Source organism: Homo sapiens, chromosome 8 (genome assembly GCF_000001405.40).
Source record: "Homo sapiens chromosome 8, GRCh38.p14 Primary Assembly".
In the NCBI taxonomy this organism is placed as follows: Eukaryota; Metazoa; Chordata; class Mammalia; order Primates; family Hominidae; genus Homo; species Homo sapiens.
In genome coordinates, this window is record NC_000008.11 from 11,603,410 (window position 1) to 11,622,101 (window position 18,692).

At 46.7% G+C, this 18,692-nt stretch overlaps 2 annotated features.

The window, feature by feature from the left end:
* Positions 2,398–2,598: a silencer, noted in NCBI's record as "peak6905 fragment used in MPRA reporter construct". NCBI's record gives its function as "represses an SCP1 promoter by STARR-seq MPRAs in K562 erythroleukemia cells {active_cell/tissue: K562}" and the evidence as "EXISTENCE:reporter gene assay evidence [ECO:0000049][PMID:32103011]".
* Positions 17,457–17,957: an enhancer, noted in NCBI's record as "H3K4me1 hESC enhancer chr8:11478375-11478875 (GRCh37/hg19 assembly coordinates)". NCBI's record gives its function as "activates a minimal SCP1, AML or CMV promoter by ChIP-STARR-seq in primed H9 embryonic stem cells {active_cell/tissue: H9 hESC(primed)}" and the evidence as "EXISTENCE:reporter gene assay evidence [ECO:0000049][PMID:30033119]".

Here is an 18,692-nt window from a genome sequence, read left to right on the forward strand (position 1 = left end):
ATTAGCCAGGCATGGTGGCATGGGCCAGCTACTCAGGAGGCTGAGGTGGGAGGATCACCTAAGCCTGGGTGATCGAGGCTGCAGTGAGCTATGATTGCACCACTGCATTCCAGCCTGGGTGAAAGAGTGAAACCCTATCTCAAATAGAAATAAAATAAAGTAAGGATACGGTATGATTATGTAACTATTTGCATACAGATATTTGGGGTTTTTTCCCAATTTTCCCTATTACAAACCATGCTGGAAGTCTAATTTTTTTCTCTTTTTTATTTTGTAGGCAAAGCTGTTGGGTATCAGTTCTCCACAGGGACCTGATGATCTTAGGTCTTTCTCTTCATCTTGGGAAGAGTAAGGAAGCTGTTCTCGTCCTGCCCTAGTGTGGCTGATGTGACATGACCGGCTGCGCCCAGCATCCTGCTTTCCTTCCCAAGTTGCGTCTTTGTCCACAAATCCAGCTAGTGCATCATTGAAAAGGTTGGTGTTGCTCAAGATTATTCCCAGTCCTAACTCATTATTGAGGTTTCGGCCTGTTTGGCTGGAAGACAACTGCAGAGATGACCGAGAGATTTTATTTGTTTCCTGTGGCCGTCATAACAAATGATCACAAACCGGGTGGCTCAAAACAACAGACATTTACTCTCTCACATTCCAGAGGCCTGAGTGTCAAAACAAGGGCCTTGAGGCCTTCTGACACCTTGAGAAAAGACTGGCCAAAGATTCCTTCCCTGATTTTTCCAGCTTCTGGTGGTTCCAGGTGTTTCTTGGCTTGTGGCTTCCTCACTCCAACCTGTGCCTCCGTCTTCACATGGCTTCTCTAGAACTCTGTGTCCACATCTGCTTCTCTTCTGTCTGTTATAAAGATACCTGGCATTAGATTTAAAGTCCACCTTGGAAGAACAGGATGATCTTGTCTCAAGATCCCTCACTTAATTACATCTGCAAAGGCCCTTTTTCCAAATAAGGTCACATTCATGGGTTCTGGGGCTTAGGACATGAACATATCTTCTTGGAGGCTGTCATCCAACCCAGTGCAGGAATCATTAGCACAGTCCTCTGCTTCACAGATGAGAGTACCCCTCCTTGCCAGGTGGTGGTAAATGCTTTGAAGGAAAATAAAGCAGGAAGAGAACAACTTGGGGTTCCAGGATGGAGGTGAGCTTGCGATTTCAAATAGGGTGCTCAGGGAAAGCCTCTCTGGTGACAAGACATTTGACGAAAGAACTGCAGACGTGGGAGAGCAAGTCACACAAGGGCTGAGGGAGAAAGCCTTCCAGGCAGAGGGAACTGATTGTTCTATTTTTTGTGTATTCTTGACAGTTTGTTCTTGTTGTAATAATTTGCCATGTTACTTTTATTTTTACCATATACATATTGCACTCCTGGATTAAACTGTGAGTTATTTGGAGATAGAGACTATGTCTTCTTGTAGCATCCTCAGCACTAGCAGAGAGCTTGATGCATGAAACATGGTCAGTAAATATTTATGAGAGAGTAAATAAATGACTGCGGTATAAAAGGATCCATGGCTTAGATGACTTGCTTGAGGTCACATGGCTGGTCAGGGGCAATGCTGAGACTGGAACACCATAATCCTTGCTCTCATCAGAAAGCAAGGTGGTGCATTTCAGGCTGGGTGTGGTGGCTTATGCCAGCACTTTAGGAGGCCAAAGCAGGAGAATTGCTTGAGCCCAGGAGTTCAAAACCAGCCTGAGCAACGTGGTGAGATCCTATCTCTGCAAGAAATTTTTTTAAAAATAGCCACGCATAGTGGCAAGCACCTGTGGTTCCAGCTACTCAGGAGGCTGAGGTGGGAGGATTGCTTGAGCTTGGGAGCTCAAGTCTTCACTGAGCTATAACTGTGCCACTGCACTCCAGCCTGGGCAGCAGAGTGAGACCCTGTCTTAAAAGAAAAAGAAAAGAAAAGAAAAGAACAAGCAGGTGGCACATTTCAAAGGAAGCTCATTTTCTAGCTGGCTGTTTTTAAGGAGACTGCTTGCTGTATCAAGACACATGTGGTAGATGTGACATGATGGGTTGGAGGCCAGGCCTGCACGGGTCATGAGCCTAATTGAAAAGGAATATCTCCCTGCTCGAAGCTCATTTTGAAACGTTTCATAAATGGCTAGTCATGGAACCAAGAAAGAAGAATGGACAAGATCAATAAATTGGTTGGCTCTTGAAAGTCAACCATATTCCAGGGAACAACCACTCACCAAGCCAGGTGGCTGAGAGAGGAGGTAAGGGTGGAGCATGCAGTGCTGGAGGATCGGGTCAGCTTGTTATCAGCAGGGACAGTGGTAGCTAAGAGTAAGCCTTGACCAGCTTGAAGAGTGAGACTCAAGGTCATCGTGGACTGCATCAAGTGATCTCAGGTCCTAGAAAGTAAGTGAAAGAGGACAGTGTGATGTGACAGGCCAGGTGTGATGAGGACTAAAGTCAGGAAAGGCTGCAGGCCAAGGACAAAGGTAGAATAATGGAGTCGATTGATGATTCAGAGCACAGGTCAAAGCAGTTGCAGGACCTTGGATAGCTCCACAGGAAGCTCTGCCAAGAGGCGTTGGATGACTGAGCTTTTAGCCCACAGATCCCAAGGGGTGACATTTGGAGCCACCTTTCGTAGGACACTCTAAGATTTCAAGGACCTTGTGCAGTCATGGTGGTTCTAACCCTTCGGCCATGAGGGACAGAAATGCTACGACTCTCCGGACATATTTCCCAAAGTACTGCCTTTCTTGGCATTTTTAAGGTGTTATGCTTACATGACTGACCATTGTCAACGTCATGAGGCATGAAAGAGCAGTGGCCAAAGGTGGGGCTATAGCTGTCTTCCAGGTCTCCTAGCTCCAGCGGTGCAAACGCCACCCCAGGCCAGGCTTTCGGGGCTCACCTCCAGAGGTTGGACATGGCTATGGCTTGGGTGGGGGAATCTTGGGCTGATCAAGAATCCCAGGCATCTTCAGGCCCTGCCAGCACACCAAGGGGTGTCAGAGTGTGCATGGACTTTGAAACCATTTCATAGCGGAGCACGTTATTTTGGTTCTTTAAGCCTCTGCTCTTGCCACTTGTGAAGTGCGGATAACATCTTGCACAATGATTGTAAGGATTAGTCAAACAGCATAAGCTACTTAGAAGAATCAGCCCAGAGCACTCCTCAGCAGACCCACCTCTTACCAACATAACAATGCTGAGTGGATCGTTTGTGGCTAAAAACCTGATCCCCTATAAGGAAGAGGAGACAGTGTGCTGGAATCAGACAGATCTGGATTCAAAAACTCTCCGGTGCTCACTAACTCTAGGGCCTTAGGCAAGTTGCAAAACCTCACGGAGCCTCAGTTTTCTCATCTGCCAAATGGAGAGCTGACACCTACCTCAAAGAGCCATGGTGAATAGTAAATGAGAAAACATGTCTACAGCTCCTCACACATAGCAAGCACTCAACGACTGTGAACTCCCAACCCTTCCTCCCATCGAACTCAATATCAAGATTTTAAAGGGAATAAAAAGCCTGGCTTTTGGGTTTCATTGGAAGTGTTTTAAGTGAGCTAAACAATGACTTCTCACTTCTCATAGGTAACATCGAATCCCAGAGCTGGAAGAGCTCAGCACTCACCTATATCACTGCCTATATTTTTACGAGGCCTTAGTAGCAAAGTGGGCTTTTGCATCACATCTCCTTTAGTTTCAAGGGACACACCCCAACTCAGACCAGGATAAGTAACAGTGAAATATTTGGGACCTTGGGTGATACTGGGACTCAAAGGAGGTTTCCAGAGCTTGTTCTGTCTCATCATCTCCTGGCTCTCACTCCCTTTGGCTGTTGACCTTATTGCCTTCTATGGCTGGCAAGCTTTCTCCATACAGAGGAGAAAGAAATTAATGACAGCTCTAGACTCCTATTGTCAGTTTTGCTACCCCAGTAGGAACTTCCCACTGCCAACAGTGAGGTTGAATGAATGAGGTTCAATGAATGAACCTATATCATTCATCCCAGGGAAGGGCACTAATGGTCCTGTTGGCTAATCATTGACTCCACCCCCTGAGACAGTGGCTGTTACACCAATGGCTGGCCAAGCTTGGGATGTGATGAGTGATCCAGGACCTCATGGCAGGTGCTGGGCAGAGAAGGACAGCATGTCTATCATTGTGTTTGCCAGTCACCTAGCTGGTGAGGGATACTGATAGAATGAGCATGCAAGCGTTCTGGCTCCTAATTTTGTAGTTTTCCCTTCTATCATCTCACATTCCCAGGCCCATTGGTAGACGCTATTGATCAAGTGTTTGAAGTGGATTTGTGCTATTATCGTCCCTTAGGAAATTAGGGGGCCTACAGCTCCCACTTAGGGACCAGCAAACCAGAATTTGTGGTAAGGTCAATCTGCAGCTGTAAGACCGTAATCTGGGGGTCTTAAATATTCATCCATAACCAAACCAGCTAAGCCACCCTGCACATGGATAAGACACGCTGGGGGCAGCATTGTTTTCAACCTCCCTGCAATGGTGTCAGCATGATGGCTAGCTCCATCTCCCGTCAGAAATTCAGCATCCTCCTACCCAGACACTAAGCATGTGCCCTCGCACTGTCAGAGAAAGGCTCTTATCTGTCCGTGAATCTGGCTGTGCCTCTATAATAAAACATATCAGGTTGATTGCTTAAATTGTTTATAAATCTGGTGCTATCTTTACTGTTTATAAAAATTCCGGTGTGGTCAATATTGGTCCCTACTGCTCCAATTAAAATGGCCAAATGAACCTCAGCACCAGCTGGAATTTCAACTGTGGCCAATCCACGTGGAGTTTTGCACTTCTGCAAGAGTGGAAGTCATGGAATAGTAGAGCTGGAAGCAGCTCTAGTGACTGTCCAGTCTAATTCTTTCCTTTTACAGATGAAGAAGGTGAGGAACAGGGAGAGAACCACATGACTTCAGGGCAGAGGTTTGCAACAACATTGCTTAATGAAATATTGAGCTCAAGCTGTGGCCAAGTGCTGATCCAGAGGCAAGGCAGCCACCATAAAGAGAGCATGGCAGCCACAGCCACATTTGCACTCTCCTAGTTCCCCTTCCATGGTCATTTGAGTCCTGGGGACACTGGACCTTCAGTCCTTCTGCCTCAAGTGGACCAACATTGGGAGAGTTGTCCTGGCATCTGAGGATTAAAAGCCAGCTCCCCTGATCCCCTGAGGCATCCGCTCCTGCTCCCCAGAAGCACTCCAGAGACCCAGCTTTGGCCAGCTGTTTCACGTCTATTTGAAGAGCTGAAATTCTAATAAGGATGATTTATGAGTTTCTGAGCGAGAATAATGGGAGCCATGCTTTCCCCTGACACAGAGCCTGGTCCCGGGGGTGCCGGGATGAGTAATGCTCTACCATGGAGCAAAGGGCTCTTGTCTGAGTCAAGGGATGATTTAACTCCTCAGAGAGCCAGAGTTTCCCTCCAATAACTCACCCTCTCTGAGAAAAGGAGTGGTACCCCCCTGTCTTGTTGGTGTCTGTGCCCACTCAGTGGCAGGAGCTGCCTTGCAGGCAGTCAGCATGGATGTGCCAGACCCCATGGCCAGTGTCTTGCAGGGTGGGGGTGGGGCCAGCAGGCACTCAGGGGGACCAGCAAGCAGGGTCTGTACACTGACTGCGTGGGCAGTGGATGCTCCAGTCTGCTGAAGGGACATCCCGAGGAAGAGGAAACAGACTTAGATGGGCTGATTCCCAGGGCCAGGCCAGGATTGTAAATAAAGGATACACGGGGATTTCAACTCAGTATAAGAACTTTCTAACAATCAGATTTGTGCCCCATAAAGAATAAATGGTTTTCGGAGGCTGTGAGACTTTCATCAGTAGCAATATTAAAGTGCAGCTGGATCCCATTTCACACACATTTGGATAGTTGTTATCAAGGAAAACAGAAAATAACAAGTGTCGACAAGGATGTGGAGAAACTGGAACCTTGTGCACTGTTGGTAGGACTGTGAAATGATACAACTACTGTGAAACAAAAAACTGCTATGAAATAGTTCATCAAAAAATTAAACACAGATCTTATAACTAGAAAAACTTAAAGACTCTACGAAAAACCTGTTAGAGGTGATAAATAAATTCAGTAAAATTGCAGGATATAAAATCAACACACAAAAATCAGTAGCATTTTTATATGCCAACAGCAAACAATCTGAAAAAGAAATCAAGAAGGCAATTCCGTTTACAATAGCTACCAAAAAGAAAAGGCTAGGAATAAACTTAACCACAGAAGTGAAAGGCCTCTACAAGGAAAACTACAAAACACTGGTGAAAGAAATCAAAGAGGACACAAGCAAATGGAAAGACATCCCATGCTCATGGATCAGAAGAATTAAGATTGTTACAATTACCAAACTACCCAAAGCAATCTACAGATTCAGTGCAATTCCTATCAAAATACCAACATCATTTTTCACAGTAATGGAAAAGATATCCTAAAATTCATATGGCACCAAAAAAGAGTGGAAATAACCAAGGCAGTCCTAAGGAAAAAGAACAAAGCTAGAGGCATCACACCATCTGACCTCAAAATACATTACAAGGATATAGTAATCAAAACAGCATGGTATTGATGTAAAAACAAACACATAGACCAATGGAATATAATACAGAACCCAGAAATAAATCCACTTATTTATAGCCGACTGATTTTTGACTAAAGCACCAAGAACATATGTTGGGGAAAGGACCCTCTCTCCAATAAATGATACTGGGAAAACGGGACATCCACACATGGAAGAATGAAACTGGAGCCCTATATCTTAAAGCAACTGAAGATGAATTAAAGATTTAAAAGTAAGACCCAAAACTATAAAAGTAGAAAAAAAGCATAGGGGAAACACTTCAGGATATTGGTCTAAGCAAAGATTTTCTGACTAAGACCTCAAAAGCATAGGCAACAAAGACCAAAGTAGACAAATGAGACTATATTAAACTAAAAAGCTTCCGCACAGCAAAGGAAACAATCAACAGAGTAAAGAGAAAACTTGTTGAATAGGAGAAAATATTTGCAAACTCTTCATTCAGTAAGGGACTAATATCCAAAATATATAAGGAACTTAAACAACTCAACGGTAAAAAAATCAAATCATCCCACTAAAAATGACCGAAGGATTTGAATAGGCATTTCTCGAAAGAAGACAAACAAATGGTAAACAGGTATGTGAAAAAATACTCAACATCACTAATCATCAGGGAAATGCCAATCAAAACCACAATGAAATATCATCTCAGTTAGAATGGCTATTACTAAAAAGACAAAAAAAGCAGATGCTGGAGAAGACGTGGAGAAAAGGAACTCTTATACACTGTTGGTGGGAATGTAAATTAGTACAGCCCCTGTGGAAAATGGTATGGAGAGTTTTCAAAAAACTAAAAATAGAACTACCATATGATACAGCAGTGCCTCTACTGGGTTTTTATTCAAATGAAAGGAAATTAGCACTAGTATAAAAGACCTGCACTCCTCTGTTTATTGTAGCACTCGTCAGAATAGCAAACATATGGAGTCAACCTAAGTGTCCACCAACAGATGAATGGATGAAGAAAATGTTATATATATACATAAATATATATGAATATTACATGATCATTAAAAGAATGAAATCCTGTCATTTGCAGCAACATGAATGGAGCTGGGGGTCACTATATTAAGTGAGATAAGCCAGGCAGAGAAAGACAAATATTGCAGGATCTCACTCATACATGGGAGATAAAAATGTTGACCTCATGGATGTAGAGAGGCTGGGAAGGGTGTGTTGGAAGGGAGTGATAAAGAGAGGCTGGTTAATGGGTACAAACATTCAGTTAGATACAAGAAAGAAGATCTAATGTTGATAGCAGAGTAGCATAACTATAGTTAAAGCAATGTATTGTATATTCCAAAACAGCTAAAAGAGAGGACTTGAAATGTTCCTAACACATAGAAATGATAAATACTGAAGGTGATGGATATCCTAAATACCCTGACTTGATCGTTTCACCTTCTATGCATGTAACAAAATATCACATGTACCCCATAAATATGTACAAATATTATGTACCAATGGAAAAAGAAAAATTAAAAAAATTAAACATATTATTGCCATTTGATCCACCAATTATAGTTGTGGACGTTGAAGTAGATATATTGGGTACATTTGGGTATGTATATATATATATGCATTATTCTCAATAGCCAAAATGTGTAAGCAACCCAGGTGGCCATCGACAGATGAATGGATAAATAAAATGTGGTCCATCCATCAAATGGATTATTATTCAGCCTCAAAAACAAGGAAATTCTGACACATGGGTGAACCTTGAGGACATCATGCTAAGTGAAATAAGCCAGTCACAGAGAGACAAACATTGTATGATTCTGTTTATATGGGGGCACCCAGAGGAGTCAAATACATAGAGATGCGAAGTAGAATGGGGGTTGCCAGGGGCTGCGGGGGAGGAGAAATGGGACTCCGTGTTTTATGGAAGTAGAGTTTTAGTCGAGGATATTGCAAAAAATTCTGGAGATGGATGGTGGTGATGGTTGCATAACAGTGTAGATATTCTTAATGCCACTCAACTGAATCCTTAAAAAATAGTTACAATGGTAACTTGTAGCTAGGTTCTGTATATTTTATTACAATTTTAATTTTAAAAAATAAAGCTGGATTCACAAAAGAAGGGACTCAGACTTCTCAAGGGCCCAGATGATCTTGAAATGAACAGATTGTGAGCACTGGGGAGAACTCGGGCTGACCCTGAGACAGAAATGGCAGAGGACACTCTGGGATGTGCACGGCTTCAGCCCGAGAGGGTGCATGCACGAGGAAAGCGAAAATTGACGCAAGAGGTGCATCAGCCTCCTACGCCACTCTTCTGCAAAGCACCTCCCCGATAACCTTCCTGTAGTAGTGACAATCACTACAAAAATAAACATGGCTAACGTTTATGGAGCATGTATTCTGTGCCAGTCACTGTGCTGAGCACACTAGAGGCTTTGTTCCTTTAAAACCCACAACAAGCTTAGGAGACAGGAAAACTGAGATGCAATATGACGAAGTAGCTTGAGCCAGAGACCCGCCCACCACCCCCCTCCCCAGCTCTGTCCAGCGTGCTCTGCAGCCCCAAGGGGCTGGGGGAGTGGGTAGAGATGGTAGGAGGGCAACATGATGAACTGGGGCTTCAAAGCACATGGGCCTCTGGCTATGAATCCAGGCATTGTACTCACTGTGGATCACTTAACTCTAAGCTTCAGTCTCTTCATCTGGAAATAGGGGCTAATGATCATCGTACCTACCCCATGGATTACCTCCAGGATTCAATGAGACAGCAATGTGAAGTGCTCAGCCCAGCGCCTGGCACGGAGAAGGGCTGAGAGCCGTAAGCTCTCCTTGTTGGCATGGCCTCTGCCTCCTCTGCACCTCAGAGCACTTGGTTGCCCGCATCTCTTTGCACGTAGCAACTTCCACCGTGCGTGAGAGCACTTTGATTCAGCCCAGCAACCTCCTCACTCTCCACAGAGGATCTGCCGTTTGGGGCCAGAGGTCATAGTTGGCTGATCCCTGGGCTCCAGCAGCAGCATAGGAAGTGCTCAGGGAACGTCTGAGTGAATGGTAAAATAATAAATGGATGCATGGTGCTCTTTGACTAAAAAACCCTCCAGTAGCTATAATAGGAGCCACAGCCTAGCCTGCGAGAGGAAGGGCAGTGGAGACCCCGCTAATGAGGAAGGCCAGAGCACCCGCCAACCGGTCCCGGCTCAGACAGCCAGACGGCTGGCCGGCCCCTTCCAACTGGCTGGGCTGATCTCGCAGAGGATAAGAGGGAGCCGGCGGCTTCGGCTTGGCCAGGGAGACAGCCTTGGGCCTGTGGGTGCCGGTGCCGGCTCCCGGGCAGACAGACAGGCCAGGAGGAAGTCACAGGCCTGGGCCCTCAGGCCCGGGCGGCAGCGGCTCCAGAGGACCTGACCATGGAACACTGGAGCCTGTGAAAAAAAATGAGAGTGGGAAATGGGAGTCAAGGAGCCAAGGGAAATGGCGGATCTGTTAACAGGCTGTTTTTGCTTTTGTCTCTGGAGAAGGAAAAGAATGGAGAATAAAGAGGAGCGTCGCAGGCCGGCTTCCTGTGCCCCGGCCAGGGTGGATCGCACCAGATAATGACTGATAGCCGTGGAAACGGGGAGACAAGATAGAGGGGAGGCCGGCTGCAGCGGCAGACCCCCGGAGCCAGGGAGGGGAGCCGGAGGGACGAGGAAGACGCTGAGGAAGCGCAGAGGAAGTGCTAGGCGAGGGGAGAACCGCGGGCCCGGAGCAGCCGCCCAGGGTCCGGGCCAGGGCCTCGTGTCTGGAACCAGGCTGGGAGGCTGGGCCTGAAAGCAGCCTGGCACGTCCCACTTTCTCCAGCAAGTTCCCAACCAGCTCCAGTGTCCCTTCCTCCGCGGAAAAACGGGGCTATGGCGGGTGGGTTGAAAGAACTCGGCTTCCTCCGTGGGTGTTTGTGGTGTGAACAGAGGTGCTGCAGGGTGAATGGCTGGGGCACCAGGAGCTCCACCAAGTGACTGTTTCCTTCCCTTCCCTGAAAGCGGCTTCAGGCGGAGGCTGGGCTCCTCACTGACACCCCAGGACAGCCTGGGGGTCTCAGCTCCAGCCCCTTTGACTGAGGCGGCAGCCTCAGGCTTGGGCAGCCGCCTCCTGGGGACCAGGGCCTCCTTCGGCTCTGCTATGGGAGGAGAATTGGGAAGCCCACGGCTCCAGCGTGAAGAGTGGTTCATTGTGAGGTTCTCCGGCTGGCTGCATGCCGTTCCGCTCACCACCTTCCCTCCTGAGACGTTGCCTGGTGTTGCCTACCTGCCCAGGGCCCAGACACGGCATGCCTGGGTTCTAACCTGGTCACCGAGGAGGATGGCACGCTCATGCACCGCTCCCTCACAGAGCCTGGCAGGCGCTAACTGGGGCTGCAGAGACAGAAGCAGCGAATGAAGCCAGGGAAGAACCCGGGAGCGACTCCCCTCCCCTTCCCCGTGTCCGGCCCCCCCAGGTGGTTTTTCTTCCTGAGCCCTCCGCTCCTGCTCTTCTCTTAAAAGTCTCCAACATCTCTCTGGCTCCCGATCTCCGAAGCTGAGATGTGAGTCCAGGGTGGCCTCCTCACTTGGATTCAAACGCTGTCACTTCTCATCGTCAAAGTCTGCCTGGAAAACTCAGGGCAGTCCATCTTCCCTGCAATCACTAGTCTGTGCAGAGCACACTGGTCTTTATCCTCGTATTTATTCATTCACCCTGTGTTTGCTAAACACATCTGTGTGCTGGCCACCACGCCAAGACACGAAATACGGTGGGAACAAGAGTGACAGTCCCTGCCCATGGGGCTTAGATCTGGGGGTAGATACAAGAAATGAACAAATCATCACACAGCATAGCAAATGCTAGTAAGGGTTTGGTGAAAGATACAAACTGAGAAGGAGGTGCTGATTTAGGTGAATAGTCAAGGAAGAATACATCAGTGACCTCTAGGTCCAGGTCATTGATTACTGGAGTGAGTCATTATTTCACAAACAAAATTGCAAATCCCAACGGAGAAAGGATAGAAATGTGAAAGACAGGATAGAAGGGAGGGAGAAACGAGAAAGGGAACAATTAAAAAGAGGAGCTGGGCATTGTATGCTAACGTGGGTTTTGTAAAGCCAAGGGGCTCTGATAATGCAAAGTTGTTTGTTCTGGGAAGGGAGAGGGCACTTCAGTGTATGTAAGAATTTTCCAGGAAACCCAGCCAGACCCTCCAACACCCTGGACATCAGACACTGAGATCACTGAAGCTTAAGGAGTGTAAGTGCTTAGTTAAGCAAAGAGGCACCCTGGAAATGCCGCCTTAAACCCAGGGATCCAACCGATGGAACGCGTGTTCTAGGCATAAACTTGACAGGAGAGAAAATTCCACCCTTCAAAAAAAAAAAAAGTGACAGATCTGGAAAACTGTCAAGAACTGTTTTCTGTTTCTATACCCACTTCCTCTTGGGCCTTGTGTGTTCTCCCCTCAGCATCTTTGGTCTGCACCCGGCACTCTCAGAAGAGTGCGTGTGAGTTGCTCATTCATGCTGAAGTGTTCATGAATTTGTGTGTTGGCCTGCCAGAAATATTTGCACCTTAAGTTAGGACAGATGGAAGGCTCATTGGTGGGATTTTACCCCATCCACAGACCTTTGGAAACCCTTCAAGTCCCTTAGGGTAAGAGAATTTACATGGCTTAAAGCTGCCCCCTGAAAAGCACTATATCTTCCTATCCAGGCCACACATAGTATTCCTGCCTCCTTCTTGTTTCCCGATTTTAACCTTTGGAATTTCCAGAAGCGTCCTATCAGGAAGGAGAAGACGGGTCTCATGCTATCTGGAACCAGGGCAAGGTAGTATACCCCTATCCTGGACTTCTGGCCACCTTAGTCCTGGGCTCTGGGCCAAGATCCCCAAGGACTGTAGTGCTCACGAGAACCTGGCAAGACCCTGAGGAATGAAGATCACACAGTAAACACGGTGACAAAGCAGACAGACCCTGCTCTCCTTTTTAGGCCTCTTTTCTTCCCAGGAATGTGTGTTTCAGAGACAAAGTCAAGTGCTTTATCTGCTGTCACTTGAAGTCATGGAAAAGTCCTGGATTTGGACTCAGAAGGCCTAGGCTTGCATTCTAGCTCTCTGTGAGCCCCTATAGCTTCCTCTGCTCAGACATAATGATTCCTCCCTGACGTGTTTCGCAGGGTCTGGTGAGAACCAAATGAGATGTATTCCCATGTGGCCCCTGACCCTCAGGGGCTGTGCTGGTCGTTACTCTAGGGTCGGCTTCCACAGCAGTGTAAGCAGCTCCTCTGTAAGACATGGGGCAGGGGGCTGGAGCTGGTTGGCTCGAGAGCACGGCCACATTCTATGTGTCGTAGAACTGGTCTTGAGCCTCTCACCCTCTTGCAGAGAACAGAACCTGCTCGCGGAGTTTGTGTGTGTGTTAAATTAGATTACCGTGGGGTGGCCACTTTGCACAGGCAACATGCACCTTCAAGATGCATTTGCCGTCTGTGCGCTTGCCATCTGTGTCCCAAATTGCATTCCATCAGGAGCACTCCAGAATACACTCATGGTCTATACATGCTGACTCCATAGAAAACCGCAGCCTCCAAATGCTTATGGTATGCACTTATTTGCTTTTTAAACTTGAGGCAAGAACTTGAGGCCCAGCAAGCTTGCTTTTTCCACACAGGCTGGCCCAGCCAGAGGGGAACTCAGCCTCCCTGTCCCAGCTCTCCAAGGAAGAGTGCCAGGAGCATGGCACTCTGCTGTGCTTGCCAGTTCCCAGACTAGGCTTTTGGTCAAAGCCCACAGAAAGCTATACCAGTAATAACTGCCATTTCCTGCATGCCTACTATGTGCCAGGCAGCATGCTAAGCACCTCAATCGTTTCATTTCAGCCTTCACTGCAAGCCCCTGGGAAGCTGCCTTGTGGTACCTGTTTAACAGACAAGGAAGCTGGGTCTTGGAAAAGTGAAGCAATTTGCCTGAGCAAACCACAGCCGAGCCTACCCCACTCCAGAGTGAACTGCATCCTCTCTTAACCAGATTCCCTGGGGGGCTGTACACCACCTGCACCTCTAACACACACACACATTCGCACATGCATGTGCATCAGACATACATGCTGTCTCCCTGTGCGCTAACCTCCACTATGAACAAACAGAATCAGAGAGGGACAGAAGGACAGGGCACATGGGGAAGGCACAGAGTGTATTTCTAAGACTTCCCTTAAGAGCTGATGCAATTCGGTGGGGTTCAGGAGAATGGAGATGAAGACGGGCCTCACATTTTCTATCTGTTCTCAGACTGGACCTTCCAGCTGGCTGCCATTCGCATTAGCCCCTCACATATCTATGGAGCTCCTACTAAGAGCGGTCTCTGGTGGGGCCGTCAGGAGCTGCAGAAGATTCAGAGAAGGAAAAGTCGTGTCCCACCCACCCAGAGCTCTCCATCTACCAAAAGGATAAAGCAGGTCCCCGAAATCCCCAGCCCAAAGCATGGTGGGATGAAAGTGTCCCCCCATCCTTGCACCCACCTCGATATTTCAGCCCTGAGGGTGGCCAGTGGGGCTGAGACCCAGTGCACCTACTTAGGGAAGAGAGAAAGGCCAGGAATCGCAACTAGGAACCCTCCCCACCAAGCCTCCTCCGTGGCCCTGACTGAAAGGAGGAACGGGGTGAATTCTCATGAGAATTCTGATAAATGGGCTTCTCCACCCCTCTTCCTCCCACACCCCCAATTAAAGTGAAGCTGTCCCAGGGCCGAGCAGCAGAAACCACTTCCAAGCCAGGCATGACATCAACATTTTAGTGATAAGGAGTGGACAATGGGGTGTTAGACTAATAGAAAAACACCACTGGATAAGGCCGGCTCCTGATATCCAGGCTGATGGGAAATACCATTGTCCGTCCGCTGTCAGCTGAGTCCCAGGGCGACAGGGATTCCAGCAGCCACAGGCAGGGCGGGGGAGGGGTGGTCCTGCCAGATCCAGCACTGAGGGGGTGCTGAGCCTCCGGGTGCAGCCCGAGAGTGGGTGGGATGGGCATCGTGCAGAGGTGGGAGTGGGGAGTTGGGAAGGAAGGTGTAGGGGGAGGGTGGTGTCGGGATAGGCAGAAATTACATATGACCCCCCACTCTGTCCACGCCACTTGGATGATGCTTGGGTGACCATATTAGTAATGGCTCACAGGTGTACTTGGTTCATTGATTTTCACAGAAATTTCTTTAAAAATTTTTTATCAAAGTAATATGTGCGCATAGTTTTTGTACTTTAAATCAATTCATATTAAAAGAATATGTAACAGCAACAACTAGAAACTGGTTTCCTGCCTACCACCTCCCAATTGTCCTCCCAGCCCCTTCTCTGCCCAGTCCTGCTCACCAGAGGCAACCAAACCAGCATCAATTCCCAGCTGCTGCTTCTGGTATTTGCCTGTATATTTCTGAATAATTTGCTTATGTGGCTATGTCATCACTTACCAATTTTAGGCATCGTCTCATGGCTTCTTCAAATGGCAAAAGAGAACTTAAAAATGTTACACTGCACTCCCCTTTACAGTTTCTCCCTCATCCTTCCATTATCATGATGATATTTAAGTAAAATAGTAATCAGTGATTATTCTGGGACTAAAACTTTCTGTAAGCCTGTTTCCTAGAGCTTGTGGCCTCTACTTTTTACATTTACTCCTTTGTCTTGCTGGAACACCTTCTTCAGTGCCTTCCTGAGAAAGGGTACATTTTTTATTTGGTAAGGTACTGAATTCTGGGTTGGAAATTATTTTTTCTTAGTGTTTTAAAAGGACTGCTCCGTTGTCTTCCAGCTTACCTTGTGTAATTGGGAAATCTGACACCATCCGATTCCTGAAGCTTTGTATGGGACCTGTCTTATTTTTTCATGGGGAGCTCTAAGAAACTTCTCTCTATCCCTCTTGTTGGAAAATTTTGCGTCAATATTACTTACTGTGTGTCTTTCCCATTCACTGTCCTGGACAATCAATAGGTTCTGTCAATCTGGAAACTCATCTCCCTCAATTCTAGAAAAAATCCATTTATTTCTTAGCTAATTTCTGCCCTTCCCCATCTCTTCTTTATTCCACTGCTAGAAATTCTATTAATTGGATATTAGACATCTTAAATCGTTATTCTAAATGTCTCATCCTTTATCCATTTTCCCTGTAAAATCCTTTTTTTCTGCTTTATTTTTATTTCCAAGAGCTCCTTTTTGTTCTCTGGTTATTGTTTTTTCACAATTTCCTGGTCTCATTTCATTAAGGCAATACCTTAGCATTCAAAGTATATTAATTATAGGTTTTTAAAAAGATTTTTTCTGCTTCTCCCTTTATTTTTTACCTTCTCTCTCTCTCTCTGTGTCACTTCTATCCCTTCCTTTGTTTCTCCTTATCTACCCATTGACAGATCCCAATACGACAAAGGAATCTCTCAGGAATTGCACCAGTGAGAGCGTTGGATATTTTATTCATGTTTCTTTAAGGTGAAGAAATAGAAGAGAGTTTTTACATAAATAAATCTGTAAATTGAAGCCAGATGGTCCTCACTGTTATATATTTAGCTGTCATATAGCCTACACCTTCACACGCAGACATTATGAACTCTCTCTTTTTTTTTTTTTTTTTTGAGATGGACTCTCACTCTGTCACCCAGGCTGGAGTGCAGTGGCATGATCTCGGCTCACTGCAACTTCTGCCTCTTAGGTTCAAGCGATTCTTCTGCCTCAGCCTCCTGAGTAGCTGGGATTACAGGCATGCACCACCATGCCTGACTAATTTTTGTATTTTTAGTAGAGACGGGGGGTTTCACCATATTGCCCAGGCTGGTCTTGAACTCCTGACCTCAAGTGATCTACCCATCTAGGCCTCCCGAAGCGTTGGGATTACAGGCATGAGCCACCATGCCCAGCCGTATGGCATTTCTTGAAAGAAATTTGTGAGCTTTTGTATGGTGGTACTGCCTGGCTGCCAGCAGCTTGCCTCTGGCCATGGCTCCCACTGTCTCTGCCTGTTTACCAGGCTTATTAATGCAATTATTTCTATTATATTAGCACATTTTCCTTCACTATGTTATCCAACTAAGTAGAAAACAAAAATAAAAGCACCGATACTAGTGATGGGAAGGATTAGGTCTCAGGAACTTAATTCAATAGAGACAAGAAGACACAAGTGGCAGATCAGCTTCAAGCTGAAGTGTGTGAATCACCTTGGCTGGTCGATTGTGTTCACCTGTGAAGGAAAATCAGAGGAAAGGCACAAAATCAGAGACCAGCACGATGAGAGGACAAGTACAAAAGGATATCATCAAACATTAAGTTTAAAAGTAAGTTGTAATTGGAGCATTTATAGTATTGTTTTTAGTTCTTAGAGAATAGAATCTCTTTATAATATATAAATCTATTGCCTAGCTTAGCACATTTGAAACTGTCTTAGTGTGTGTGTGTGTGTGTGTGTGTGTGTGTGTGTGTATTTAACTTAATGAATTTGGAGGGAGAACGTGGATAAGACGAGGAGATTGTCAGTCTCCTCGATGCCTGAAAGTGAGCCAGGATCAGCGTCCCACCCAGGCAGCCGCTGAGCCCATGAAAACCCACAGAGAAAGCTGCCAGTCCAGAATGTTCTTAGGATCCTCTGACACCTGTGTATGAGGCCCTGTTCCCTCCTCTTGCTTCCTGGACCATCTGCTTCCCCAGAGGACGGCTCCCGGGGCTGCTTCTGGAGGGGGCTTCTCTTGCTTGTCGAGGCCCCACTCCTGTGCCCAGCCCGGTATCCCTGTTCTCCGTGTCTGCCAGGAAATCGGGGAGTGGTGAGGTCTGACCACAATAGGCAGCCTGGCTTTTCCTACCCTGCCTGGTTCCCATGCCCTCCCTCCCCTATTTCATCCTCTCCCAGACTTCTTGAGGCTCAGGAGAAGACAGAGGGCTCACACACCTCTGGTGAAGTCAATGAAACGCTCACAATATTCCAACTGTGTTCCCCAAGTCACTGGAGCGGAAAGCCTGGGAGCCATCCTCACCGCCCTGGAGCCTCACGTCTGACCTCCAGCCACCTCCTGTCAATTTTCCGTCCAAAGCCCCCGAGAAATCCCCACTGCTGCTGCCCTGGCTCAGACCATCACTGCAGCTCCTCTGGGCTATTTCAACAGCCCCTGCTACTCTTTCAGCCCCAATTTGCCTCTCTCTGCTTCATTCTTCCCACTGTTGCCTAAGGGATCTTTCCGGAATGCCACTCCATCACCTCAAATCCTGATGAAAACACTTCAGGGCTTCTTACTGTCAAGCTCCAGCCTCAGCATTCCCAGCCCACCTGCCTCTCCAGCCTTACTTTCTCCTCTCCTCCCCACCAAGCCCAAGCGGAAGCCACAGGAGGCCATCAGCAAGTTTACCCACAGTGTCTAGAATGCCCCTGCTCCTTGGGGGCGTTCACACCCTTACATGTCAGATCCGCCTTGCTGCTATTCCTCCTCCGTTTCCCCAAGAGGAATTAATTCCTCCTTCCTATGCTTCCACAACACTCGAAAACTATCTATTCTCCCTTTAACACACCTGTGCTGTAGTGATGACTCTCGTCTCTCTTCTTTATGGTAATCTTCTCAAGGAAACACCATCTTCCATCTCCAGCTGCAGGGCCTGGTCCAGCCTTGGCACAGAGTTGGCACTTAGTAAATATCTATTGAATTTATTTAATTAGACTGAAAATATGTAGCCCTTAACTATGTATGGTTTACTATGAAAAAAGTGGTTACATAACTGTTTACGGAGAATCAAAGATATGCTTCTAAATACCAAAACAAAGAGTTTGATTTTAAAATAATGTATCAGCAGCGAGGTGGGGTGCCACACAATCAATGCATGTTCAGCAAACATATGCAGAACTGGAGGGACTCTCCCATAAACAGAGGACTCCCTCTTTATGGGACCATCTGCTAATCCTCATTCCAGACACCTCAACCTTCTCAGTCAGAACAGGAGACAAAATTATTGGCATGGGAAGGAGTGGGAATTAGCATCCCTTCTCTGTGTAATCCAGAAATTAAGGGTAGTAGCAATAGCTATGGTTTCCTAAATATCTTCTGCATGCCAGATGCATCTAATAATTCATATCTAATCTAATATCTAATAATGACCACACACTGTGGTTATAGT